Below are 27,427 nucleotides of genomic sequence, written 5' to 3' on the forward strand. Positions count from 1 at the left end.
TAGCTGGGATTACAGGCATGAGCCATCACACCTGGGTAATTTTTCTTTTTCTTTTTCTTTTTTTTTTTTGAGGCGGAGTCTCACTCTGTCGCCCAGGCTGGAGTGCAGTGGCACAATCTTGGCTCACTGCAAGCTCACTGAATCCCTCCCGGGTTCATGCCATTCTCCTGCCTCAGCCTCCCGAGTAGCTGGGACTGCAGGCGCCTGCCACCACGCCTGGCTAATTTTTTCTATTTTTAGTAGAGACGGGGTTTCACCATGTCGGCCAGGCTGGTCTCCAACTCCAGACCTCAGGTGATCCACCTACCTTGGCCTCCCAAAGTGCTGGGATTACAGGTGTGAGCCACCGTGCCTGGTCCCTACTTTAACCATTTTTAAGTGTACAGCTCAGCAGTGTGAAGTACATTGACATTGCTGCAAAGCAATGAAGCAGAACTCCACAACTTTTCCATCTTGCAAAACTCCCATTTTGCACCCATTAAACAATGACTCCCTTCCCCCGCCTCCCCAGCTCCTGGTAACTACCATTTTACTTTCTTTTCTGTGAATTTAACTACCTTAGAAACTGCATATAAGTGGAATCAAGCAGTTTGTCTTTTTGTGTCTGGCCTATTTCATTTACCAATGTCCTCAAGGTTCATCCACGTTGTAGCACGTGACAGAATTCTCTTCCTTTGTAAGGCTGAATAATATCAACTGCATGTATATATCACATTTTGTATACACCACTCAACCATTGATGGATACTTTTCCCCCCAGGGATTCATTATAAGCACATTGATGGACATTTAGGTTGGTTTTACCTCTTAGCTATTGTGAATAGTGCTGCTATAAACAAGAGTGTGCAAATATTTCTCCAAGATCCTACTTTCAATTCTTTTGGATGAATACCCAGAAGTGAGATTATGTGATCATATGGTAGCTCTATTTTTAATTGTTTGAGGAACCTCCATACTGTTTTCCATAATGGTCGCACCATTTTACAATCTTACCAACAGTGCAAAAGGGTTACAATTTCTCCACATCCTTGCTAACACTTGCTATTTCCTGTTTTTTTTTTGATAGTAGCCTTCCTAATGGATGTGAGGTGACAAAGAAGAACATTTTATAATGATAAATGGGTCAGCCAGCAATAAGACAAAATAAAAAGTTATATGTGCTTAACAATACATGAAGCCCCAAAATACAAAAGCAAAAAATGATAAAACTCAGGAGAGAAACAGACAATTCAACAATAACAGTTGGATACTTCATTTTTAGTAGAGATGGGGGTTTCACCATATTGGCCAGGCTGGTCTCAAACTCCTGACCTCGTGATCTGCCTGCCTAAGACTCCTAAAGTGCTGGGATTACAGGTGTGAGCCACTGCGCTCGGCTATAACCTGATTTTTTAAATGAGCAAAGGATCTGACGTTTCTTCAAAGATATACAATTTGCCAATAAGCCTGTGCAAAGATACCCAACATCATTGGCCGTGAGGACAATGTAAATCAAAAACCACAAAGAGATAACACTTCATACTGACTAGGATGGCTATTATCAAAAAGACAGACAATAACAATTATTCCCAGAATATGGGAATTGCTGGCAATGCAATGATGGTGCAAGTAAAATGTGAAGCTCCTTTGGAAAACAGTCTGGCAGTTTCTCAAAAGGTTAAATGTAGAATTGCCATATGACCTAGCAATGCCTATCCTAGGTATTATCCGATAGAACTGAAGACATCTATCCACAGAAAAACATGTACACAGATAACCACAGCAGCATTATGCACAACAGCCAGCAAATGGAAACAACCCAAATGTCCATCAGCTAACAAATGGATAAGCAACATGTACACTCATGCAATGAAATATTTAACAAAGAATGAACTACTGATACGTGTTATGAAATGGTGACACTGAATTATACAATTCAGTGCAAATTATTCAAAGTAAAAGAGGCCAGTCACAGAAGATCACATATTACATGATTCCAATTATATGAAATGTCCAGAAAAGGCAAATCCATAGTTAGAAAGTAGATTAGTAGTTGCCTAGAGCTGGGGAACATGGGAGATGATGATTACTAGAAATGAGCTTCTTTACGGGGAGATAAAATGCTCTAAAGTCAGCTGTGGTAACGGTTGCACAACTGTGTAATAACCTAAAAATCACTTAACTGCACACTTCGGTGGGTGAATTTTATCTCTATGAAGCCGCCACATTAAAAGAAAAAAAATCAACCTAAGCGCACGCCCTTAGTAAGTTTTCCCTGTTGTAGAAATACTAACAAGTGGGTACCCAAGGACTTCCCTACAACTCCGCAAGCTTCTAAAGAAAAGGAATTTCAACATAAACTATAATAACAGGACTTGCATAAATATTGTGTGTTGAGAATAAGACAGAGGTCAAGGCATATTCTGAAGATTTACTGCAGAGAAGCAAACTTGTCTGACACCGATGAGGAAAGCTTAAAAGCTTTCTGTCACAACCTGTGTCTCATTTTCCAATTGTACAGTTTAACCTGTATAAACTCTTGTGAGGAGTATGTGTATACATGTGAGCTTATGTGAAAAATCCTTTTATAAAGATTTGCATTTATTTATATAAAGGTTGTATTTTTTACCATGCACAGGTGAATCTTCATCAGCAAACAGATTTGGTTCTATTTCTTTCAAGGAACTTCTACCTTCAAGTCGGGCAAGGAGCTTATAAAAGAAGAGAGAAGGAAAACTCATTATTTAAAAATATAAAATCCTAGACATCTATATTTATACCATTTTCCGAAAGTCTGTAAGATTTCATAACTTTAGGCTGGGTGCTGTGGCTCACACCTGTAATCCCAATACTTTGGGAGGCCAAGGTGGGCAGATCGCTTGAGTCCAGTTTCAGACCAGCCTGGGCGACATGGTGAAACCTGACTCTACAAAAAATACAAAAATTATCTGGGCATGGTGGCACACACTGTAATCCCAGCTACTGAGGAGGCTGAGGTGGGAAGATCACTTGAGTCAAAGAGGCAGAGGTTGCAGCCTGGGTGACAGAGTGAGGCCCTATCTCAAAAAAAATTTTTTTCATAATTTTGTGGATTTGGAAGAAAATATGAAATAGGAAATATAGTTTAGGAGAAATGTTGTGTTTACTTATTTTTCAGATATTTTACTTTTTGTTTATCTACCAAATACTGACAGTATAAAATGAGTCTGTACCCTCAAAGGAATGGATAGTCTAGTTTAGGATATAAGACAAACTGCTATGGCAAAATTTTTACCTTCCTTGTAATTAACTTTCACACAGTTAATTCTTACCACACTTGTTACACAGTTATCTGCCTTCATTTGTCTGCCCCATTCATTGTGAGCTCTTTATTTCACTGGGGAAGGGGACAAAGGAGAAAGGTGGAGGAGAACTTCCTTGAGGAGCCACCACCTGGGCTCTCTCCTAAGTAAGACTGCCAGGTGAATGGGGCACAGGCAGGCCTAGTAGACCTGCTAACAGAAACAGGAGCAGCCACAGTGCAGAGGTTATAAATAGCATTGTGCATAGGGACACTGTGAGCAGCTTTGAACTCCTAGATACTGTAACAGCACCAAACAGGCAGGACCCAGGGAAGCCCTACAAGAGAGCAGAAGTCAGAGCATGGAAGGGCTCAGACGCCATGTTTGGGAGCTTATCTTTGGCTTGTAGACAACAGCCAACAGGTGTGACACTAAGCACTGAGAAGTATTTAGAACATAGTTAAGAGTAGACATTTGGGACCCCAGAGCCAGACCTGCTAGGTCACTGAGGTCCTTAGGCTTCTCATCTGTCAAGTGAGGATAACAAACAGCACCCTCCCTCATAAGGCTGATGAGGATTAAATATGTGAAAAGAGTACCTGGCATATTATCCACTTCTTTTTCTTTTTTGAGGCGGAGTCTTGCCCTGTCGCCCAGGCTGGAGTTCAGTGGTGCGATCTCTGCTCACTGTAACCTCTGCCTTCTGGGCTCAAGTGATTCTCCTGCCTCAGCCTCCTGAGTAGCTGGGATTACAGGCACCCACCACCACGCCCGGCTAATTTTTGTATTTTTAGTAGAGACAAGGTTTCACCATGTTGGGGCAGGCTGGTTTCAAACTCCTGACCTCAAATGATCCGCTCCCATCGGCCTCCCAATCTGCTGGGATTACAGGCGTGAGCCACCGCGCCCAGCCTATCTGCATTTCAAACAGATCATCTTGGTGGTTACTAGGGGACAGATGTGAGGAGAGTTAAAACCATACGTGGAGAGAGGGCTGGGGTTTGTCACCCTAGTCTGGAGGAGGAGTGTCTGCACCATGACGGAAGTCATTAGGATCACAGGGGGCAATCTCGGTGAAGGATTTAACTGTCACAAGGGAGACAAAACTGATTCTCAAGTTTCTTGGGAATCAGCACAGATTTGACAACCCTTCTATATGACAAAAGAAAAAAAAATCTATCACAAATGGGAAGAAAGTCACCTTTTATTTGCATTTTTTTTTTTTTTTTTTTTTTTTTGAGACGGAGTCTCGCTCTGTCGCCCAGGCTGGAGTGCAGTGGCGGGATCTCGGCTCACTGCAAGCTCCGCCTCCCGGGTTCACGCCATTCTCCTGCCTCAGCCTCCCAAGTAGCTGGGACTACAGGCGCCCGCCACTACGCCCGGCTAATTTTTTTGTATTTTTAGTAGAGACGGGGTTTCACCATTTTAGCCGGGATGGTCTCGATCTCCTGACCTCGTGATCCGCCCGCCTCGGCCTCCCAAAGTGCTGGGATTACAGGCGTGAGCCACCGCGCCCGGCCTTATTTGCATTTTTTTAAACCAAATCAAGTTGTGGAAAGACTTCCTCAAGTGATGAAAAAGTTCTATGCATTAATTTAACAGGCGTTCGTTGAATTTCTGTTGCGTATGAAGCACTGTGCTAGGTAAAATGTTGACTACAAAGATGAAGATGACAACCTACCCTCAAAGAATGTGCAGTCTCAGTCCTCTAGATGAGATTATGTCATAATACAAGGTAAAGTTACAGGGTGCTTAATTAGAGCAGAGGTTCTGAGGGCATACCCATGGCCAAAACTATTTTCGTAAACAGAAAAAGTAAAAATTAAGATGTTATTTGCCTAGTTTGATACTAAGGTCCTAAAAGCAATAGTGGGTACCTGCTGACAGCTAGCGTAATCAAGGCAGTGGTGTGGAAATGTATTAGCACACATCGCCAAGCACTACCTGCACTCAGGCAGAACAAAACCAGCTTTACGTAAGAATGTCTTTGAAGTAAAAAAAAAAAAAAAAAAAAAAAAAAAGACTGCTTTTACTAAATCATGACCCTTGAGTACACTTTAAAAAATATTCTTTGTGATGACATGAGAAACATACTGTGTAGTGAATAATTTAACCTTGCCCAAAGGGAGGTCTGGTTTTTGTCCTTGGCTCCTGAGAGGTAATTCTAAACCCTTGGAATGTCTTGCCTGATAAAAGTGTCTTTGGGCCGGGCACAGTGGCTCGCGCCTGTAATCCTAGTCCCTCGGGAGGACAAGGCAGGAGGCTCGCTTGAGCCCGGGAGTTTAAGACCAGCCTGGGAAACATGGCGAAACCCTGTCTCTACAAAAAATACAAAAATTGGCTGGGCATGGTGGCATACACCTGTAGTCCCAGCTACTCAGAAGGCTGACAGAAAAGAATCGCTTGAGTCCAGGAGGTCGAGGCTGCAGTGAGTCAAGATTATGCCACTGCACTCCAGCCTGGGCCACAGAGCAAGACCCTGTCCCCCTGCCCCCCCCCCCCAAAAATAGTCTCTGTTTACAAGAGAACTTTGAGCCACACAGCAATGTGATTTATGGTGGGGGCTTTGGGTCATGCAGTGTTAGGCCAACCTGGAAGTGCTGGAAGCTAAGGTCAGCTATGCAGGCGGTTGACTATGTCCACATGGCAGAGCCCCAATAAAACCTTCGGACACCAGAGTCTAGCTGAGATTCCCTGCTTGCCAATATTCTATTGTCACACATTGTTGCTGGGAGAATTTAGCACTGTTGATGACTCCACTGGAAGAGGACAGCTGGAAGCTCTGTACTTGGAACTTCCTGAACTTTGTCCTATTGTGTCTCTTCCCTTGGCTGATTTTAATCTATATCCTTTTGCTGTTGCAAACCATAACCATGAGCATAACAGCTTTCACTGAGTTCTGAGTTCTTCTAGAGACTTATTAAGCCTGAAGGTGGCTGTGATAGTTAATTGTATGTGTCAACTAGATTAAGTTAAGAGATGCCCAAATAGCTGGTAAAGCATTATTTCTGGGTGTGTCATGAGGGTGTTTCTGGAGGACACGAGCATCATCAGTAGACTGATTAAAAAGGATCCATCCTCACTAATGCAGACGGGCATCCTCCAATCCCTCTTTTCTTGAACTGGGACACCCATCTTCTCCTGCCCTCAGATATTGGAGCCCCTGATTCTGGGACTTACCCCAGTGCCGCCTGTCCCCCAACCCTACACCATTCTCGAGCCTTTAAAGCCCTGGACTGGGAGTTCCACCACGGGCTCTCCTGGCTCTCAGCCCTTCAGACTCAGACTGAATTACACCACAGGCTTTCTGGTTCTCCAGCTTGCAGATGGTGTGTCTGGGATTTCCTGGCCTCCATCATCACGCTATTAGAGTAGGTAGACAGACAGGTGTGAGTGGGGCAAGACAGGCCCCAAGGAATGTCCAGGTGGCCTCTTCAGGAATGATAACTGGTTGCAGCTGGCACCAGGGAGGGGAAAATTTCCTAACAGGAAACATCTTGGGCTTACGGGCAACAACTTCCTGATAAGATCCTAGGAATTGAGCAAACATGTCCAGGAATGTGCAGTAGGGAGCAAAATGGTGGAGTGTGACCAGTATATGACCTTTCTCTGGGAGCACTAGACCAGTACGGGAAAATTGCCCTACACGAGCATGCACAGAACTCCAAACACCAAATGGCAGTCGTGGCCCCTTTCAGATGCTGGCAAGTCACTGCACATGAGGCAATTAGCCAGCAGCCCATCCAAGGAGAAGGATGAGAGGAGACCAGGAAGGATCAGGAAATAGGGGCATTCAATATTTCAAGTTGCCCATTTGGTCCCTTCCAAGTGAACGTTACTTCAAAAACCCTTCAGTCCTGCCTTGAATCTACTTCTGTCTTGGCTGAATTCTTTCTTCCAAGAAGACAAGAACTAAGGACTGTGGACCCCAACCAGACTTGCTGCCCTGGTAACAATGTGAGCCAATTTCCATAATAAATTTCCTCTTATATATCTACATGTATCCTATTGGTTGTTGGTTGTGTTTCTCCTCTGGAAAACTGTGCCTAACACATAACTCAGTGAACCATCCAAAAGATGCATGGTGTGAAATCATTCCTGGGTAAAAGATTTCACTCCAACTGTAAGACAAACCTTTTTTTTTTTTTTTTTTTTTTTAGACAGGGTCTTACTCCCGTCACCCAGGTTGGAGTACAATGGCACGATGAGACTCAACCTCCCAGGCTCAAGTGATCCTCCCACCTCGGCCTCCCAAGTAGCTGGACTACAGGCTCGTGCCACTATGTCCAGCTAATTTTTTTTGTTATTTTTAGGAGACAGGGTCTCACTATGTTGCCCAGGCTGGTCTCGAACTCCTGGGCTCAAGTGATCCACCTGCCTTGGCCTCCCAAAGTGCTGGAATTACAGGTGTGAGCTACTGCACCTGGCCAAGGTCTTAAGATTTTATATCCCACATTGTAGTTAGCCTTTAGGAAAACTACTACTTGTCAAGCTTTGGTAACAGTAACCAAGAAGAATATCTATAATTCTGTGAAAAGGTCTTAAAATACTCCTCCCTTTCCCAACGTGACTTTCTCTGAGAGGATGGATGTTCTTCATATACTTTAACCCAACCAACATATGATAACAGACTGCATAAGAACCCAGTTCCATTAAGCCAGATATTAAAAAGATTTGCAAATATGTAAAACAACATCATTTTTCTCAGTTTTTTCTTAGAAAAATACAGCTTTTTTCATAAAAATATGTTTTATAAAAATATTCAATGTGTGTGTCACTGTACATGAATGTAAATATTTTAAAATTTTAAATTTGTTTCATGGACACATATAACATAAAGAAAAGCTCTTTAGATTCTTCAATAATTTTTTTTTTGAGACAGGGTCTTGCTTTGTCACCCAGGCTGGAGTGTGCAGTGATGACATCATGGCTCTCTGCAGCCTTGACCTCTTGGGCCCATGCAATCCTTGCATATCAGCCTCCTGAGTAGCTGGGACCACAGGTGTGTGCCACCAAACCCAGCTAATTTTTTTACTTTTTGCAGAGACAGGGTCTCCCTATGTTGTCCAGGCTGGTCTCGAACTCCTGGACTCAAGCAGTTCTCCCACCTTAGCCTCCCAAAGTGCTGGGATTACAAGCATGAGCCACCATGCCCAGTGGAATCTCCCACTTTTAAATGTGTTACATAGTCCTAAGACTAAAACCTATAAGAACCACTGGGCTACAAGACTGAAAGAGTATAACTCAAAGAAAAATACAGATTCTTTATTTTTTTTTTTTTTTGAGACAGAGTCTCGCTTTGTCACCAAGGCTGGAGTGCAGTGGCACAAGTTCAGCTCACTGCAACCTCTACCTCCTGGGTTGAAGCGATTCTTCTGCCTCAGCCTCCTAAGTAGCTGGAATTACAGGCGTGTGCCACCATGCCTGGCTAATTTTTGTATTTTTAGTAGAGATGGGGTTTCGCCATGTTGGTCAGGCTGGTCTCAAACTCCTGACCTCAGGTGATCCACCCGCCTCAGCCTCCCAAAGTGCTGGGATTACAGGCATGAGCCACTGCGCCCAGCAAGACAGAGAGACTTTCATGGACAAGAAAGAGCACGTGGAAACAACTATAAAATATCTTCAAAGGCATGTATACGAATGAATAACATCCTCATTAGATTAACTTGGGAAGACACTCCAATTGTTTACTCTTACTGTCATTTCTCAAAACACTGTAGAATCCTCACCCCTGAGAAATCCTGGCAAAATAGTACTCAAGAAAGTATTATAGGCCAGGTGCGGTGGCTCACGCCTGTAATCCCAGCACTTTGGGAGTGCCAAGGTGGGCAGATCACCTGAGATTGGGAGTTCGAGACCAGCCTGACCAACATGGTGAAACCCTGTCTCTACTAAAAATACTAAATTAGCCAGGCGTGGTGGCACATGCCTGTAATCCCAGCTACTGGGGAGGCTGAGACGGAAGAATCGCTTGAGTCTGAGGCAGAGGTTGCGGTGAGCCGAGATTACGCCATTGCACTCCAGCCTGGGCAACAAGAGCAAAACTCCGTCTCAAAAAAAAAAAAAAAAAAAAAGAAAAAAAGTATTATAATTTTATTGACGGGACTCTTTTGGGCGAAGATGGTATTACTCCTCTTAGTTACCCACAAGGATTAGGCAATCTGCATCAGACTTTCCACTGTTACTTAGAAAATCAAATTTAATTTCAAAGGAGAAAAACTGTCCACCACTGAGAATATCCAAAGCAACGTTTTACAACGTCAAAGCAGAGTATACTGAATTATAAAGGGGGTGAAAGAACCTCCCAGAAATAGGAAATAGATTTAAATTTACAAGTAATGGATAATATTAACAATTCACAAGCCAAGCAAATTGTTAATATTACAATTAACAATTGTAATTGTTGCTCACACCCATAATCCCAGCACTTTGGGAGTCTGAGGCAGGTGGATCACCTGAGGTCAGGAGTTCCAGACCAGCCTGGCTGACATGGTGAAACCCCCATCTCTATGAAAAATACAAAAAATTAGCTAGGCATGGTGGTGGGCGCCTGTAATCCTAGCTACTCGGGAGGCTGAGGCAGGAGAATCACTTGAACCCAGAAGGTGGAGGTTGCAGTGAGCCGAGATCACACCACTGCACTCTAGCCTAGGAGACAGAACGAGACTCCATCTCAAAAAAAAAAAAAAAGAAACTTCTAAACATAGGCAGAAAATACACTGGTCCCCCCTTATCTGCAGTTTCATTTTCTGTGGTTTCAGTTATAGCCAACCACAGTTCGGAACTATTAAACAGAAACTTCTAGAAATAAATACACAAGTTTTCAATAATTGCATGTCATTCTGAGTTGCATAATAAAATATCGTACCATCCTGTTCTGTCCCACGTGGGACATGAATCATCCCTTTGTCCAGCATATCCATGCTGTACACACTACCTGTTCATTACTGTATGGGAAAAAACATAGTGTATATAGGGTTCACTACTATCTGTGGTTTCAGCATCCATTGGGGGTCTTGGAACATATCCTCCATGGATAAGAAAAGAGGTACTCCAAAAATCTGACATAGGCCTATTACAGAAAATTAAAATTAATGATGTCCAGATTCAAGGAAAGAGTCAATAGAAGCAAGGTATGGTCAACCTGCAGTTTCAGAAGCGAAAGAAGAGTTTGTTAAGTGTCCAGGGTAAAGGGAACCCAAGTAAATTCTGCTTGACATGACAGTTTAATCCTCTTAGGGAAGACTAATACATCAGGCATCAGAGCTTGGTGATGATAGCCATTATGACAAACTGTTTCTCTTAATTCTCTAAGCAACCTTTCCGAGGCAAAATTTCCTAACTAGAAAAGAATACACAGTGGACATAATAATTTTAATCTATTTGACAGTTTCACTAATATTGTGAGTCAATAGATTTGATACTTGGATTGTAAATCAGCATCTGCTAAGTTCTATTATCGTAACAATAGCTATCTAATAATAGTTATTTGAGCTTACTGTGGGATCAGCAGTACATTCTTTATATTATGTCCTTTAATTGTTACATCAACCCTATTTGTTACTATTGTATTTTTCACATGAGAAAACTAGTAAATGTCAGGGCCAGGATTTAATCAAGATCTCTGTGATTCTCAAAGCCTGGAATTTTTCTACTATGCTATACAACCTCAGTATCACTGAGACTAATCAAATATGAGTACAAGGACTAAACTGAGTTTTTGGACCTATTAAACTGAAAATCAGGCCAGGTGCAGTGGTTCACACCTGTCATCCAAGCACTTTGAGAGGCTGAGGCAGGAGTACTTGAGGCCAAGAGTTCAAGACTAGCCTGGGCAACATAGTGAGATCCCACCTCTACAGAAAAATAAAAGTTAAAAATTAAAAAACAGGAGGAAAGCCATCTGAGGTCCTGTCTGGGCGATTATCTGACTTCTTTCAACCATTCCTTTAGTTGAAACTTGAACACTAACAAGGTGTCCCAAATGTCTTCAGCAGCAGCAGCATTGCTGGAGCAAGCATTTAGTCTGCAAAAGAGATAATGCTCAATTATACAGACATTTAATGGTAAACATTTTACAGAGTCTCACTCTGTCGCCCAGGCTGGAGTGCAGAGGCACAATCTCGGCTCACTGCAAGCCCCTGGGTTCAAGCGATTCTCCTGCCTCAGCCTCCTGAGTAGCTGGGATTACAGGCGCCCACCACCAAACCCGGCTATTTTTTCTATTTTTAGTAGAGACGGAGTTTCACCATGTTGGCCAGGCTGGTCTCAAACTCCTGACCTCAAGTGATCTGCCTGCACCGACCTCCCAAAGTGCTGGGATTAGAGGCATGAGCCACCATGCCTGGCCACTTACCGGTGAACATTTCATGCAAGTCAAGTATGTTCCAGGAACTGAGGTAAGTGCTAGGGATATAAAGATGTAGCCAACACAGTTGCTGTTTTCAACAAAACTGATGGGGAGGCCAGGCATCGTGGCTCATGCCTGTAATCCCAGCACTTCGGGAGGCCGAGGTGAAAGGATGCTTGGGCCAAGGCTAGCAACATAGTGTAACCTATTTAAACTAAACAGTCAAAAGGCTGTAAAAAAAAAAAAAAGTACAATAAAGTTAGGCAGGTGCTGTAACAGAAATACACATGGGGCATTGTGAGGGCATAAAAGAGAGTTGGCCAATTCTAATCTGCGTGAGAGTGACTTTTAATTTTGAGTGACAGATTTTAGTACATAGTTCTTTCAGGTAAATATAAATTGTGTACTGAGAGAGAAATGCCTTTTTTCCTTCTACCTGGAATATCTTTAGCCTATTTCCTCCAACTAAATTCCCTACTGAATGAATGAAAATTCTGGGCATTCTTCAAGGTTCCTTCCCTCCATGAAGCTATTACTGTCCTTAAGAACACATTGCTAGCCACTCTCCCTCATCTGGATATAAACATTTAAAAGGAAAGAGATCAATATTGGCTTTGTTACCAATTCCAAAATGCAATGCTTTATGCTTGGCAGAAACTTAATAGCTGCCTAGTAAACTACAGGCAAACAAGGCATGCACAGGCAGAACTGGGAGAAGAATGGGGAGTGTAAAGAACCTCCAACTATTTAGAAGTTCAGGTTTGGATAATTGATGCAAACCTCTATTACACAGAAGTCCGTGAGTACACATCCTTATGACTACCATCAAGGTACAAACAAAACATTGCCCTGTTTTAGGGCATCAGTATATCGCCTATTTAGTAGAATACATATTATATAGGCTTTTTTTTTTTGAGACCAAGTCTCACTCTGTCACCCAGGCTGGAGTGCAGTGGTGTGATCTCAGCTCACTGCAACCTCTGTCTTCCCGGGTTCAAGCAATTATCCTGCCTCAGCCTCCTGAGTTGCTGGGATTACAGGTGTGTGCCACCATGCCCGGTAATTTTTGTATTTTTAGTAGAGACAGGGTTTTGCCATGTTGGTCAGGCTGGTCTCGAACTCAGGTAATCCGCCCACCTCAGCCTCCCAAAGTGCTGGGATTACAGGTGTGAGCCACCACGCCCAGCCCATACAGATGTTTTTAAACATCATTTAGAAAAGCTTACACTAGTCTGGGTGTGATGGCTCATGCCAGTAATTCCAGCACTTTGGGTGGCCAAGGCGGGCAGATCACCTGAGGTCAGGAGTTCGAGACCAGCCTGGCCAATATGGTGAAACCCCATCTCTACTAAAAATACAACAATTAGCTAGCTATGGTGGCACCTGCCTGTAATCCCAGCTACTAGGGAGACTGAGGCAGCAGAATCACTTGGATATGGGAGGCGGAGGCTGCAGTGAGCTGAGATCATGCCCCTGCACTCCAGCCTGGGCGACAGAGTAAGACTGTCTCAAAAAAAATTAAAATTAAAATTAAAAAATGGAAAAATTTAAAACCTCCAGAGAAAGCGTAAGAATAGTACAGTGAACCAATACCTTCACCTAGATCCACCATTGCTAACATTTTGCCAAATTGAGTTAACTTTTGTTGAACAGCTTCCCCTCATATACTTTAATATGTATCTCCTAAGCAAAAAGATATTCCTAACAAAGAAACAGAAACAAAAAATAAAACCAAAATAAACTCAAAAAAGAGGTAAAAGGTATTCTGCATAGTCACATTACAATCACAATCATAAATTTAACATTGATACATACAATACTCTTCTCTTATACCTATACTCTTTATTATATTTTCCCTGGATCTAGACGCAATTGAGGATAAATATGTTAAATCTGGGATGCCTATTAAACATACACATAGTGATGTCAAGATGATAGAACATGAGTCTGGAATTCCAGGATAAGGTTGGATGTTTTGTAGTGAGAAAGTGAATTACTAGAGAAATATAGTTAGACCGGGTGCCCATTTGAGAATGATGATTATAAATTTAAAATGGAGCCAGGCACAGTGGCTCATGCCTGTAATCTCAACACTTTGGGAGGCCAAGGCAGGTGAATCACTTGAGCCCAGGAGTTGAGACCAGCCTGGGAAACATGGCGAAACCCCATCACTACAAAAAATACAAAAATTAGCCAGGCGTAGTGGTGTGTCCCTTTAGTCCCAGCTACTCGGGAGGCTGAGGTGGGAGAATCACTTGAGCCCAGGAGGTCAAGGCTGCAGGGAGCTGTAATCGTGCCACTGCTGTCCAGCCTGGGTGACAGAGTGAGACCCCTTCTCTAAAACATGAAAATAAATATATAAATTTAAAATAAAATCAAGTCAGCCTAGTTGTGATTTTCTCTAGTAATATTCAGCTGAGTGGAAGTAGACAGTTGGTTTTCACCATGCGTAGGTAAATAGCTTAGAGGTGTTAAGAGGCAAGTAATTTGATGGCAATGATAATGGAATAATTATAATGAAGGAACATGGGATTCTATTCTGGGTAAAAGGGAAGCAAAGACAAAAGGTGATAAGCATTATTCTAAAACTCTGTGATTATACAACACCAATTATTATTTTACAAGAAACATTAAATATTTGTCTTATGTAATATTTGCCTCTAGCAAAGACCACCCTGTAGCTTTTCTTTTTAAGAAAATCAACCTTTATTATCAGTAAATATTTACATTTACTATGCAGACACTGTGTTTAGTTCAAAGGATACAAAGAAGTATATGAGCTGTAAGGGAACTGAGAAATCAGTCTACCACCTTCATTTCACAAAAGTACAGCAAAGGTTAAATGACTTATCCAAAATCACAATGCTTGCTCCTGGCAGAACCAAGGTTTCTGAACTTCCAGTCCAATATTCTCTAGATCTCAGCCTCCAAAATACGTCATTAGAAAATTCCTGGAAGAATGTGCAGATATTCACAGGGCTATCCTTGGGTAATGATAATGGGAGTGGAGACATTTCCTACTTTTCACTTCAGTGCTATTGGAATTTTCTGCCATGTACATGAACTGCTTTAATAATAAATATAATGGAGTTAGTTTTTTAAAGAAAAAAAACATGGTATGCTGTGCATAGCAACCAAAACTGGACAGACACTTCCAATTTTTTATTTACCAATTATTTTAAAATTCAAGGCATATTAGCATTCTTGAAAAAATGCAAAGTACACCATTATTTAACAACTGTATTCAAATGAAGCCATTTGGTGGATGATACCAAAATACTGCCCAAATCACTGGATCTTTTCTCACAATCTCAGTGAGATATAAAAGTAAAAATCCTATTGCTACTGTGCAAAGGGAAAAATGGATTGTTCTATTGTAAACTGTAGTCAAATGCTTGTCTTTTTTAAATCAAGGGCACATATGTTTTCCACTCTCCACCTGGCTTACCATAAACTTCATCCCTAGAATCTGCTAAAAAAATATATATTCTTTTTTTTGAGACAGAGTTTTGCTCTGTCACCCAGGCTGGAGTGCAGTGGCGTGATGTCGGCTCACTGAAACCCCCGCCTCCCGGGTTCAAGCAGTTCTCTTCCTTCACCCTCCCAAGTAGCTGGGATTACAGGCGCCCACCACCACACCCAGCTAATTTTTTTTATTTTTAGTAGAGACAGGGTTTCTCTCTAACTCCTGACCTCAGGTGATCTGCCCACCTCAACCTCCCAAAGTGTTGGGATTACGGGCATGAGCCACTGCACCCAGCCTAAAAAAATATTCTTACAACTTTATTTTCTTGAAGACCCCCATATGAAATGTCTTTTCCTTGATACTCACAAGAAAGATTAACTATTTTATTAGGTTCTAATTCTAGTGAATTTTAAAGCAGGCCAGGCGTGGTGGCTCATGCCTGTAATCCCAGCACTTTGGGAGGCTTAGGCAGGCGGATCATGAGGTCAGGAGTTTAAGACCAGCCTGGCCAACATAGTGAAACCCGGTCTCTGCTAAAAAATAAAAATAAAAAATAAATTAGCCGGGCATGGTGGCGTGCACCTGTAGTCCCAGCTACTCGGGAGGCTGAGGCAGGAGAATTGCTGGAACCCGGGAGGCAGAGGTTACAGTGAGCCAAGATCGCGCCACTGCACTCCAGCCTGGGCGACAGAGTGAGACTCTTGTCTCAAAAAAAACCAAAAATTTAAAGTAGTTTATTTCAGTTTCTTGGGTTAGCTTATGGCTTCAGATATATTCCTCAACACAATCCCTCCAAGTAAATTCAAAGTAGATGAATGTGCAAAGAAGCTAGAGTTCAAACAAATTTGGCAGTGGCCACATAGTTCCCAAGACACTTAAAGGGAAAGAGACTGGCTTAACTGGTTTTGTTAATAAAAAGGAAAATAGAGCAGCGCCAATTGCCTAGCTTCCTATTCACCATTCCACCCCACTCCACTCCAGAGTAGTATGAGCTAGGCTTAGGATTGCCACACAGACAAGGCAGGCAAAGGATATGATGTTAAATTCTTTGTTCCATGACTTAACTGTGCTAGACTCTCATTTTTTGGATACAAGGCTTGTTCTGATTGCAAAAATCATCGGACCTTAACCTGGGTTTCAAATAATCATTTAAATATAAGGTTTTGGCCGGGCGCAGTGGCTCACACCTGTAATCCCAGCACTCTGGGAGGCTGAGGCGGATCACCTGAGGTCAGGAGTTCGAAACTAGCCTCGCCAACACGGCGAAACCCTGTCTCTACTAAAAATACAAAAGTTAGCTGGGTGTGGTGGCGTGTGCCTGTAATCCCAGCTACTTGGGAGGCTGAGGCAGGACAATCGCTTGAACCCGGGAGGCGGAAGTTGCAGTGAGCTGAGATGGCACCATTGCACTCCAGCCTGGGCAACAGAGCGAGAGTTCATCTCAAAAAAATATATATTTATATATAAAAAATATGTTTATATGTATTATATACTTTCTATATAATCTATATTATAAATATATTTTTAAATATATATTTATATAATATATTTTTAAATATATATTATATATAAATATATTTTTAAATATATATTATATATAAATATATTTTTAAATATATATATATCTATGGTTTATAACTGTAGCCGTTCTTATACTAAGCAGTGGTTCTACTCTTTAGGAACAGGGATTATCAAACTATGGCCAGCAGGCTAAATCCAAAAAACAAAGCTTTATTGGAACGCTGCCATGTGCCTTTATTTATCTATGACTGCCTTCCCATTAGAACAGCAGAGTTGAGTGGCTGTGACAGAAACGGCATGGCCTGCAAAGCCTAAATATTTACCACATGGCCCTCCACAAAAATGTTTGCTGACTCTTTTGAGATTGCTTCCTCTCTCATCTGCATAAAAGATCCTTCATACCCTGCCCACTGCTCAGCGCTTACTTCCCAACCTATTGTCCCTCACTCCCTTTGTTCCAATTTTACAGAAATACTTGCAGTTATCTAAATTAGCCATGCTCTTGCTTAATTCAGAATCCATGTACTCCCGACTGTCTCCGCTCTGAATGTCATCCTCTCCTTGCCAAACCATTTCAAATGGTCCTTGAAACTTCAGTCATCTCCTCCTGCATCTTCCATGATGCCCGCCCCTCTAATGGACAACAAACTTTTGTGCAATACTGTAATTCTTACAGCAGCCTCCCTTACTAGTTCTTTAATGGCAGAAGTTATGTCTTTTGTTGCTTACTCCTATCCCTTAACACGTAGTTGACACACAGTAAGTGCTGGACACTTGGTTCAATTCTTGAGGGGCATCCACCGGCTTGTGTGGCTCTGGAGCTACCTGGGCTGGAAACGAATACTAGGGGGTGGCGAGGGCCAGCTGCCCTAAGCAGAGACACGTGGGCTACAGGGAGGTGAGGCAACCTCCGCAAACACCACCTGTTCCAGAAAAGCTCCAAATGCTCCAACGGGCGACCCCTCCCCTTTTCTAGCTTTTCTTGCATAGCTTGACATTTCCAACGGTAGTTAATTTGTGAGGGGTTTTTAGACCATAACTCTTGGGAGGAGAGACCTCGTATGTTATATCGATCTGGGCAGGCAGCAAGTCTTCCAAAGAAAGACTTCCTCCACCTCCGCCCGGTCCTCCCACCTCGGAGGACTCCAGGCTGCCCAGGGGCGGACCCCTGGGGCCCAGGTGAGAGGTGGCAGAGGGTGCCAGCATCGCGGGCGTCTAGGCCGAGAGGCCGGTCCCAGCCCGGCCAGGCCGCGCCGCCCCAAGCCTCCCAATCCCCCGGGTTCCCTCGGCTCCCCTCGCCCACCGGCGGCCTTGTTCCCATCTCCCTCACTCCCAACCCGGCGGCTCTCACCTCGGTCCCAGACTCAGCCCTATGGAAGGCACTACACATCGCCCCGAAGGCTCGGCGCAGGAGAGACTCAACTTTCCCGCCACCAACGCCATTCACCAACTGCGCAGACTCTACGGCCAGTCAAACCCGCCCACCCGCGCGCGTGCGCACTGCGCCAGGCCGCGGCCGGGGAGGCGGGAGCATGCGCAATAGGGTGTGCGGGCCTCCCCGCCCCGCCCCCAGTTCCTGTGACGTCAGACTTCCGCGTCCCCCGCGGCGCTCTCCCGCGTCCCCTTGGAGATCGCTCCGGGGTGGCGGGGACAGCTGGTGCTTTTCTTGTCTGTTGTAAACTTTGGTTCGTTATTATTATATTAGGTAAAGCTGGTCTTATGTATTAATTTGTTTAACCATTAAAAATAATTGTATTGCACAAGCAGGCCCCTTTGTCCGTTCTCGGGTTAAAAGCCTCTGGCTGTGTGTGCGATTCATGGTTAATTCTGGAAAAAAAGAGAAAAGTATACTGTATTTAAAAGAATTTTTAAAATATACCGAGCCTGTGGATTTATCAAGTTGCTTTTTGAGGTAGGCAGGAGGATCACTGGAAGTCGGGAGTTCGAGACCAGCCTGGCCAAAATGGTGAAACCCCGTCTACAGTAAAAATACAAAAATTAGCCAGGTGTGGTGGCGCATGCCTGTAATCCCAGCTACTCAGGGAGGCTGAGGCAGGAGAATCGCTTGAACCAGGGAGGCAGAGGTTGCAGTGAGCCGAGATCGCGCCATCACACCTGAGCGGCAGAGCGAGACTCTGTCTCAAAAAAAAAAAAAGACAAAAATTTGGATATAGTAGCATTGGCCATTATTATCAAGATGACAAAATGTTTTCTGGAATGAAAAAGTTTCATGCAAAGATATACTTTTCACCCACCTAGTTTAGTTTTCAAAAACGCTAGGAAAGAGCATATACCAATGAAGTATTTCTCATGGGTAATATTAAAGTTGCTCATTTTGTAAATTGGAATGGTTTTGGTTCCAAGTCACAGAAAACCCAACTCTTACGTCCTGAAACAAATGGGCTTTACCGGGTGACATCACTAGAAGTCCAAAGGTAAGACAGGCTTCAAGGTTAGTTTAATTGAGAGGCTTGATGAGGCAAACAAGTACCTCATTTCTTTTTACCTCAGATTCATGTTTTCTACCTTGGCCTCTTCTCTACGTAGGGCTGCGGGCCCGTATCTGAAACATTAACAACCATCAGGAATGAGGTTGGTCTGGTTAGCTTAGGCCTGAATCGTGTGCCCCACTTACTTTTCTTTTTTTCTTTTTTTTTTTTTTTTTGGAGACGGAGTCTCATTGCACTCTCGCCCAGGCTGGAGTGCAGTGGTACCATCTCGGCTCACTGCAACCTCTGCCTCCCGGGTTCAAGTGATTCTTCTGCCTCAGCCTCCCAAGTATCTGGGACTACAGGCACGTGCCACCACGCCAGGCTAATTTTTGTATTTTTAGTAGAGATGGGGTTTCACCATATTGGCCAGGCTGATCTCGAACTCCTGACCTTGTGATCTGCCTGCCTCGGCCTCCCAAAGTGCTGGGATTACAGGCGTGAGCCACCGCGCCTGGCCCTGTGTGCCCCACTTCTATCCGGAGTAGAGACATATTTTTTCAAAGCACACAGGCCTTGTGGAAAGGTGTGGAGAACAGTAAATGACAACAATAACAACAAATTGTGAATCATTAACAAGAGGAGTGGGAGTGGATGCTTGGGAGGCCACCTCTACCGTCTTTTTTTTTTCTTTTTTCCCTTTCCTATGGTGCTGAACCACCTATATCTTCATTACACCCTCTGTAATGAGGATATGTGTATACCAAACCACATGTGTAGGTCAACCCCCTCGTCCAATTCCACACACTTCTATACAAAGTAAATATTTCCTCACATAGTAAATCAATATTTGAGAAAGGAGACTTTACAATTAAATAGCTGCTCTAGGCTAAATTAGTTTTTCAGTCTCCACACTGTTCCTAATGAAGAAGACATGTCAGCTGAACTAGTTTAGTCCATTAAGTGCACACCTGTTCGTGTGAGTGCAACATGGTTTTGAAATCACTTCAGTTTTAATGCTCCGGAAACATCACTTCTCGTTTAAAAGGATACTTGAAGCGCTCTCACAAACTGCTGGTAGGCATGAAAACATACGGTCTTTTTGGAAAGGAATTTGGCAATATCTTTTTTTTTTTTTTTTTAATTAATAGAGATGGGGTTTCGCCATGTTGCCTAGGCTGGTTTACAACTCCTGGGCTCAAGTGATCCTCCTGCCTCCTAAAGTGCTGGGATTACAGGCATGAGCCACTGCACCTGGCCGATTTTGGCACTATCTAACAAAATGACGCATTTATTAACTTTTTCACTCAGCAATCCTACTTCTAAGAATTTAGCTTGAAGTCATACTTCCAACATTGCAAAAACGTGTATGCAAAAAAAGCATATTGCAGCATGGTTTGTAATTGCAAAATCTTGGAAATGGCCTAAATGTTTATACATAGGAGAGTGGTTGAAAACAATACGGCACTGCCACAAAATGGAGCACTATGCAGCTGCAACAAAGAATGGCCAAGATCTCTATGCATCTGTAAGGAATGATTTCCAGGATATAGTGTTAAGTGAAAAAGGCAAAGAGGAAGGGGTGTCTACAGTTTGCTAGCTTTCTTGTAACAAGGGAGGGGAAAGAAAAAGATACACATGTCTCTGCTCATTTGGGTAAAAAGAAACACAGGAAGAATACATGAGAAGCAAAGAGGATTCTTTATCTACGGAGGGTAGATAAAAATAGGTTGGAAAAAATGGAGGATGAAAATAGGGTAAAAGAGATGGGGTGAGGGACACTTCCCTATGTGTAACTTTTTTTGATAGCTCCAATTTTTTTTTTCTTTTTTTTCTGAGACAGAGTCTTGTTCTGTCACCCAGGCTGGAGTGCAATGGCAGAATCCTGGCTCACTGCAACCTCTGTCTCTGGGTTCAAGTGATTCTCATGCCTCAGCCTCCTCAGTAGCTGGGATTACAGGCACCTGCCACCACGCCTGGCTAATTGTATTTTTGGTAGAGATGGGGTTTCACCATGTTGGTCAGGTTGGTCTGGAACTCATGACCTCAGGTGATCCACCAACCTCGCCATCCCCAAAGTGCCAAGATTACAGGTATGAGCCACCATGACTGGCCAGCTCTAACTTTTAGAAACACATGATGTTTTACCTCCTAAAAAAGAAATCATCAGTGGCTTACGCCTGTAATCCCAGCACTTTGGGAGGCTGAGGCTGGTAGATCACCTGAGGTCAGGAGTTTGAGACTAGCCTGGCAAACATGACAAAATCCTGCCTCTACTAAAAATATAGAAATTAACCGGGTGTGGTGGTGCATGACTGTAATACCAGCTACTCGGGAGGCTGAGACAGGAGAATTGCTTGAACAGGGAGGTGGAGGTTGCAGTGAGCTGAGATCATGCCATTGCACTCCAGCCTGCACAACAGAGTGAGACTCTGTCTCAAAAAAGAAAAAAACAAAACAAAAGCAAGATCATGTCCTTTGCAGGAACATGGACGGAGCTGGAGACCACTATCCTTAGCAAAAAAACGCAAGAACAGAAAACCAAATACCACATGTTGTCACTTATAATTGGGAGCTAAATGATGAGAACTCATGCACGAAAAGAAAGGAACAACACACACTGAGGCCTACTTCAGACTGGAGGGTGGGAGGAGGGAGAGGAGCAGAAAAAATAACTACTGGGTACTAGGCTTAGTACCTGGGTGACGAAGTAATTCCTACAACAAACCCCCATGACATGAGTTTACCTGTATAACAAACCTGCACACGTACCCCTGAACCTAAAATTAAAATGTTTAAAAATTGCCACAGTAGGCCGGGCACAGTGGCTCATGCCTATGGCGCCACTACACTCCAGCCTGGTGACAGAGTGAGACTGTCTAAAAAAAAAAAAAAAAAGAAAAAAAGAAAAACAAATTGCCACAGTAATAGTTTGGAAGAGGAGATTAAGAGTAATCAATTGATACTAAAATTACTGGATAAAAGTATAATTAAAGACAGACTATAGCCTAAAGTATCTCCCTACAAGATACTTGTTAATTACAAAGAAAAGAGTGACCCTGCCATGGAGAAACTTTTTTTTTTTTAAATTGAGACAGAGTTTCGCTCTGTCGCCCAGGCTGGAGTGCAGTGGCGCGATGCAACCTCCACCTCCCGGGTTCAAGAGGTTCTTTTACCTCAGCCTCCCGAGTAGCTGGGACAACAGTCGTGCAACACCACGCCTGGCTAATTTTTGTATTTTTAGTAGCAACCAAGTTTCACCATATTGTCCAGGCTGGTCTTGAATTCCTGACCTCATGATCTGCCCGCCTTGGCCTCCCAAAGTGCTGGAATTACAGGCGTGAGCCACCGTGCTCGGCCGCCCAGCTAATTTTTTTGTATTTTTAGTAGAGACGGGATTTCACCATGTTGGCCAGACTGGTCTTGAACTCCTGACTTCAGGTGATCCACCCACCTCAGCCTCCCAAAGTGCTGGGGTTACAGGTGTGAGGCACCATGCCCTGCACCATGGAGAAACCTATTAAACATCACCTTAACCAAGTGATCCAACTTAACATCACCTGTAATGAGAAAAATAGGTATCACGTGCCTCCTAATACAGTGCACTGGGAAGAACACAGCATCCTTTCTGTGGTATTCCCACCGAAAATGCATAACCCAAATCTAATCATGCACAAACATTACACAAACCCAAACTGAGGTACATTATATTCTAGAATATAACCAACCAGTATTATTTTAAAAATCTAGATTAAAAAAACGAAAACAAAAACGTGGCTGGGCACAGTGGCTCCCGCCTGTAAGACCAGCACTTTGAGAGACTGAGATGGGTGGATCACCTGTTGTCAGGAGTTCAAGACCAGCCTGGCCAACATGGTGAAACCCCGTCTCTACTAAAAATACAAACATTAGCCAGGCATGGTGGCAGGTGCCTGTAATCCCAGCTACTCCACAGGCTGAGACAGGAGAATCGCTTGACCCTGGGAGATGGAGGTTGCAGTGAGCAGAGATTATGACACTGCACTCCACCCTGTGCAACACAGTGAGATTCCATCTCAAACAAAAGACTGAGGAACTATTCCAGATTAAGGGTGACTAAAGAGGCATGACACCTATATATTAATATAATGTGTGATCCTGAACTGGATTCTGAACCAGAAAAATACATTAGTGAGACAGTTGGTAAAAGCTGAATATGTCTGTTATTTATTTATTTATTTTCTGGAGACAGGGTCTTTGTTACCCAGGTTGGAGTGCAGTGGTACCATCTAGGCTCACTGTAACTTCTGCATCCTGGGCTCAAGTGATTCTCATGCCTCAGCCTCCTAAGTAGCTGGGATTACAGGCGTGCACCACCACACCTGGCTAGTTTTTGTACTTTTGTAGAGACTGGGTCCTGCTATGTTGCTCAGGCTGGTCTTGAAATCCTGGGCTCAAGTGATCCTTCCATCTTGACCTCGCAAAGTGCTGAGATTATAGGTGTGAGCCACTGGACCTGGCCACATATGTAATTTAGATAATTTTTTATCAATATTAATTTCATAATTCTGAAATTATGCTCTAATGTTCTGAGAGAAAGCCCTTGTTTCAAGAAAATATACACTGATGTCTTTAGACATCTTTTTTTTTTTTTTTAATGACAGAGTCTCGCTCTGTCGCCAGGCTGGAGTACAGTGGTGCGATCTCGGCTCACTGCAACCTCCGCCTCCCAGGTTCAAGCAATTCTCCTCCCTCAGCCTCCCAAGTAGCTGGGACTACAGGTGCACAGCACCATGCCCAGCTAATTTTTGTATTTTTAGTAGAGACAGGGTTTCTTCATGTTGGTCAGGCTGCTGTCGAACTCCCGACCTCAGGTGATCCACCTACCTTAGCCTCCTAAAGTGCTGGGATTACAAGCATGAGCCACCACGGCCAGCCAAGATTTTTTCCTAAAGATATTTCTATTAGTATGAATGAATTTCAAATTCACTTATTTAAAATCATCAGAAACAAATAGAAAGTCAATCTACAAAGCTACGCCTGGTCAGGCATGGTGGCTAATCCATATAATCCTAGCACTTTGAGGGGCAAAGGTGGGACAATTGTTTGAGCTTAGGAGTTCAAGACCAGCCTGGGCAACATAGTGAGAACTTGTCTTAAAAAAAAAAAAAAAAAGGCCGGGCATGGTAGCTCACGCCTGTAATCTTAGCACTTTGGGAGGCCGAGGTGGGTGGATCACCTGAGGTCAGGAGTTCCAGACCAGCCTGACCAACATGGCGAAACCCCGTCTCTACGAAAAATACAAAAATTAGCCAGGCATAGTGGTGGGCGCCTATAATCCCAACTACTTGGGAGGCTAAGGCAGGAGAATCGGTTGAACCCGGGAGGTGGAGATTGCAGTGAGCCGAGATCGTGCCATTGCACTCCAGTCTGGGTGACAGAGCGAGACTCTGTCTCAAAAAACCAAACCAAACCAAACAAAAAAACCAACAAAAAAAACCCTATGCCTAAAGAGTCATTCAATCGCTGGCTTTTCAATCAATACAGTTCAGGGTCAAGTAGACAAATAGAAGCAGGATAGCAGGGTGGAATGGTTCTGGAATGAGGGTCAAGAGATTCAAAATCTGTCATCAGCTCTGCTCTCCCTACGTGATTCTGGGCCGGGCCTCTGAGACATGATGGCCTCCACTTCTTTCTTGGGGATTTGGATGAGATGACAGATCTTCCATCACTACTATAAGGCCTGTGGTCTTTCTAGCATGTTAAGTTGCTTCCAGATGATTCCAAGGATCTAAGGCCATTTACAAGGCTAGATTCTATGATTCTTTAGTATGAGGAAGCAAGAAGCTAGAGGAAATGGGCATGTTTATTAAGGTGCCAATAGGTTATAACCTAAATTTTCATTCCCTTTTCCCAGGGGAATAACAACAGCTAAATGAGTATCAGCTAAATGAATATTCCCTTATGCTAAAGTCTTTCTCACTGAACTTCTTTTCTTTTTTATGTACTTGGGGTTAGTTAATTGCACTTTTCAATTTGTGGCCAGTTCTCTGCTCCTGCAGGCCCTGCTCTTCTTCATTTATTTATTCCCTCTTAGTCCCATTTCTTACTCCCTATCTCATCCCTGCATAGGCAATTACTCTAATGTATTTTAAATATTTACTTGTGTTTGTAACTTCCTTGCCAAAAAAAGTAGTTTTGTTTTGAATGCGTACTTATTTGTAATTTGTATGAAGAGTTGTGATCGTTCGGTGTTCAGGCTGGTACCCTTTACTCTCAAATTCTCTTCTTTCCCCACTCTGCTTTGTATCACACGAGAGGGCAGGGGACGGGAGAGTGGGGTGGGAGGAGGGGAGGCGTGGGCTGACCTTTCCAACTGCGTTTCCGGGTTCCCAGGTGAGCTTCCTTCTGAGCTCACCGTGGGCGGCACAGTGGGGAGCCTAAAGGAGGGAGGAAGAGGAAGGCAGCAGATGCTGTGTCTCCGGGAGCAGGCTAAATTCTATTTTAAAAGTACTTAAAGTCTAAATGAGTTAATATTTATAATAAAAAATAATTAAAGGGGCCAGGCGCAGTGGCTCATGCCTGTAATCCTAGGACTTTGGGAGGCTAAGACGGGAGGATCACCTGAGGTCAGGAGTTTGAGACCAGCCTGGCCAACATGGCGAAACACCATCTCTACTAAAAATACAAAAAAATTAGCCGGGTGTGGTGGTGCACACCCATAATCCCAGCTACTAGGGAGGCTGAGGCAGGACAATCGCTTGAACCCGGGAGGCAAGAGGTTGCGTTGAGCCGAGAATGCACCATTGCACTGCAGCCTGACAAGAGTGAAACTTCGTCTAAAAAAAAAAACTTAAAGTAGTTTCTGTTTTCCTGATTAATCCCCTGCTGATACGTTTAGTTTTCCCCCTTTTTATGGACACCATATTTTAAGGCCTAACTGTGCTTTTCTGTGTGCACATATACCACTCTCTAACTGCCATGGAGCATCTGGGCTGTGCATCCTCCACGTTTCACTTTCCCACATCCCCTAAAAAAAAAGTGCCTCCTACTCCAATAACTGTGCACAACTGTCTGAGGAACACTCTTGGATACATGAGCCCTATGGATCTTTTGTATAAATGTTTCTGCAATCTGTATTCTGGAATGGGATGACTAGGTCATAGAGCACACACATGCCCACCTTGACTAAGTCCTACCAGACTTCTGTATGGGATGGAGACGACATTTCCTCTTTGCCTCAGCCTCATCTCCTGGCATCAGCCTATTGTACAATTTCATTTACATAAAATGTCCAGAATAGATCAGTTTAGAGACAGAAAGGAGATTAGCAGCTCCCTATGACCAGAGAAGATAGGAAACTTGGGGGCGATGGCTAATGGGTTTGGTTTTTTTTAGGGTAACAAAAATGTTTGGTTTTTTTTGTTTGTTTTATTTTGTTTTGAGACAGGGTCTCACTCTCTTGCCCAGACTGGAATGCAGTGGCCCAATCTTGGTTCACCGCAACCCCTGCGTCTCAGGCTCATGGGCTTCTCCCACCTCAGTCTCCTGAGTAGCAGGGATTGCAGGCACACATCACTACCACCCAGATAATTTTTTTTTTTTGAGATGCAATCTGCAGTGGAATGGCTCGATCTCGGCTCACCGCAACCTCTGCCTCCCGGGTTCAAGTGATTCTCCTGCCTCAGCCTCCCGAGTAGCTGGGATTACAGGTGCACACCATGCCTGGCTACTTTTTGTATTTTTAGTAGAGATAGGGTTTCACCCCCTGTCTCTACTAAAAAATACAAAAAATTAGCCGGGCGTGGTAGCAGGCACCTGTAGTCCCAGCTACTCAGGAGGCTGAGGCAGGAGAATGGCGGGAACCCGGGAGGCGGAGCTTGCAGTGAGCCAAGATAGCACCACTGCACTCCAGCCTGGGCGACAGAGCGAGACTCCGTCTCAAAAAAAAAAAAAAAGAGGGACCGGGTTTCACCATGTTGGCCAGGTTGGTCTTGAACTGCTGACCTTGTGAACTGCCCGCCTCGGCCTCCCAAAGTGCTGGGATTGCAGGCGTGAGCCACCGCACCCGGCCTAATTTTTGTATTTTTAGTAGAGATGGGGTTTCACCATGTTGGCCAGGCTGGTCTTGAACTCCTGACCTCAAATGATCCAACCACCTCGGCTTCCCAAAGTGCTGGGATTACAGGTGTGAGCCATCGTGCCCGGCCCAAAAATGTTTTAAAACTGGTTGTGATTGTGGTGATTGATTCACTACTCTGTGAATGGACTAAAAGTCCAGACGAAAGTATAATTATACACTTTATTTATGTATTATTTTAAATGGGCAGCCTCCTGAGCCGGAGTGTGTTCAGAGATTCCTAATTATACTTTTTTTTTTTGAGAGGGAGTCTCACTATGCTGCCCAGGCTGGAGTCCAGTGG

At 43.6% G+C, this 27,427-nt stretch overlaps 1 protein-coding gene across 1 annotated transcript in view, besides 3 other annotated features; it reads right to left on the reverse strand.

The window, feature by feature from the left end:
* XRCC2 (X-ray repair cross complementing 2) overlaps positions 1 to 18,048 on the reverse strand; it is a 31,366-nt gene extending 13,318 nt beyond the window's left edge. The window contains exons 1-2 of the mRNA NM_005431.2: positions 17,948 to 18,048; positions 2,608 to 2,689 (exon numbers count right to left, since the gene is read on the reverse strand). Coding sequence (NP_005422.1) covers positions 2,608 to 2,689; positions 17,948 to 17,986 — 121 coding nt within the window. The 5' untranslated portion in view covers positions 17,987 to 18,048. The remainder of the gene's footprint in view (positions 1 to 2,607; positions 2,690 to 17,947) is intronic.
* Positions 17,435 to 17,524: a silencer, noted in NCBI's record as "silent region_18835". NCBI's record gives its function as "represses an Ori minimal core promoter by ATAC-STARR-seq in GM12878 lymphoblastoid cells {active_cell/tissue: GM12878}" and the evidence as "EXISTENCE:reporter gene assay evidence [ECO:0000049][PMID:35858748]".
* Positions 17,525 to 18,369: an enhancer, noted in NCBI's record as "H3K27ac hESC enhancer chr7:152372703-152373547 (GRCh37/hg19 assembly coordinates)". NCBI's record gives its function as "activates a minimal SCP1, AML or CMV promoter by ChIP-STARR-seq in naive H9 embryonic stem cells {active_cell/tissue: H9 hESC(naive)}" and the evidence as "EXISTENCE:reporter gene assay evidence [ECO:0000049][PMID:30033119]".
* Positions 17,825 to 18,294: a silencer, noted in NCBI's record as "silent region_18836". NCBI's record gives its function as "represses an Ori minimal core promoter by ATAC-STARR-seq in GM12878 lymphoblastoid cells {active_cell/tissue: GM12878}" and the evidence as "EXISTENCE:reporter gene assay evidence [ECO:0000049][PMID:35858748]".

Source organism: Homo sapiens, chromosome 7, assembly GCF_000001405.40.
Source record: "Homo sapiens chromosome 7, GRCh38.p14 Primary Assembly".
Taxonomy (NCBI): domain Eukaryota; kingdom Metazoa; phylum Chordata; class Mammalia; order Primates; family Hominidae; genus Homo; species Homo sapiens.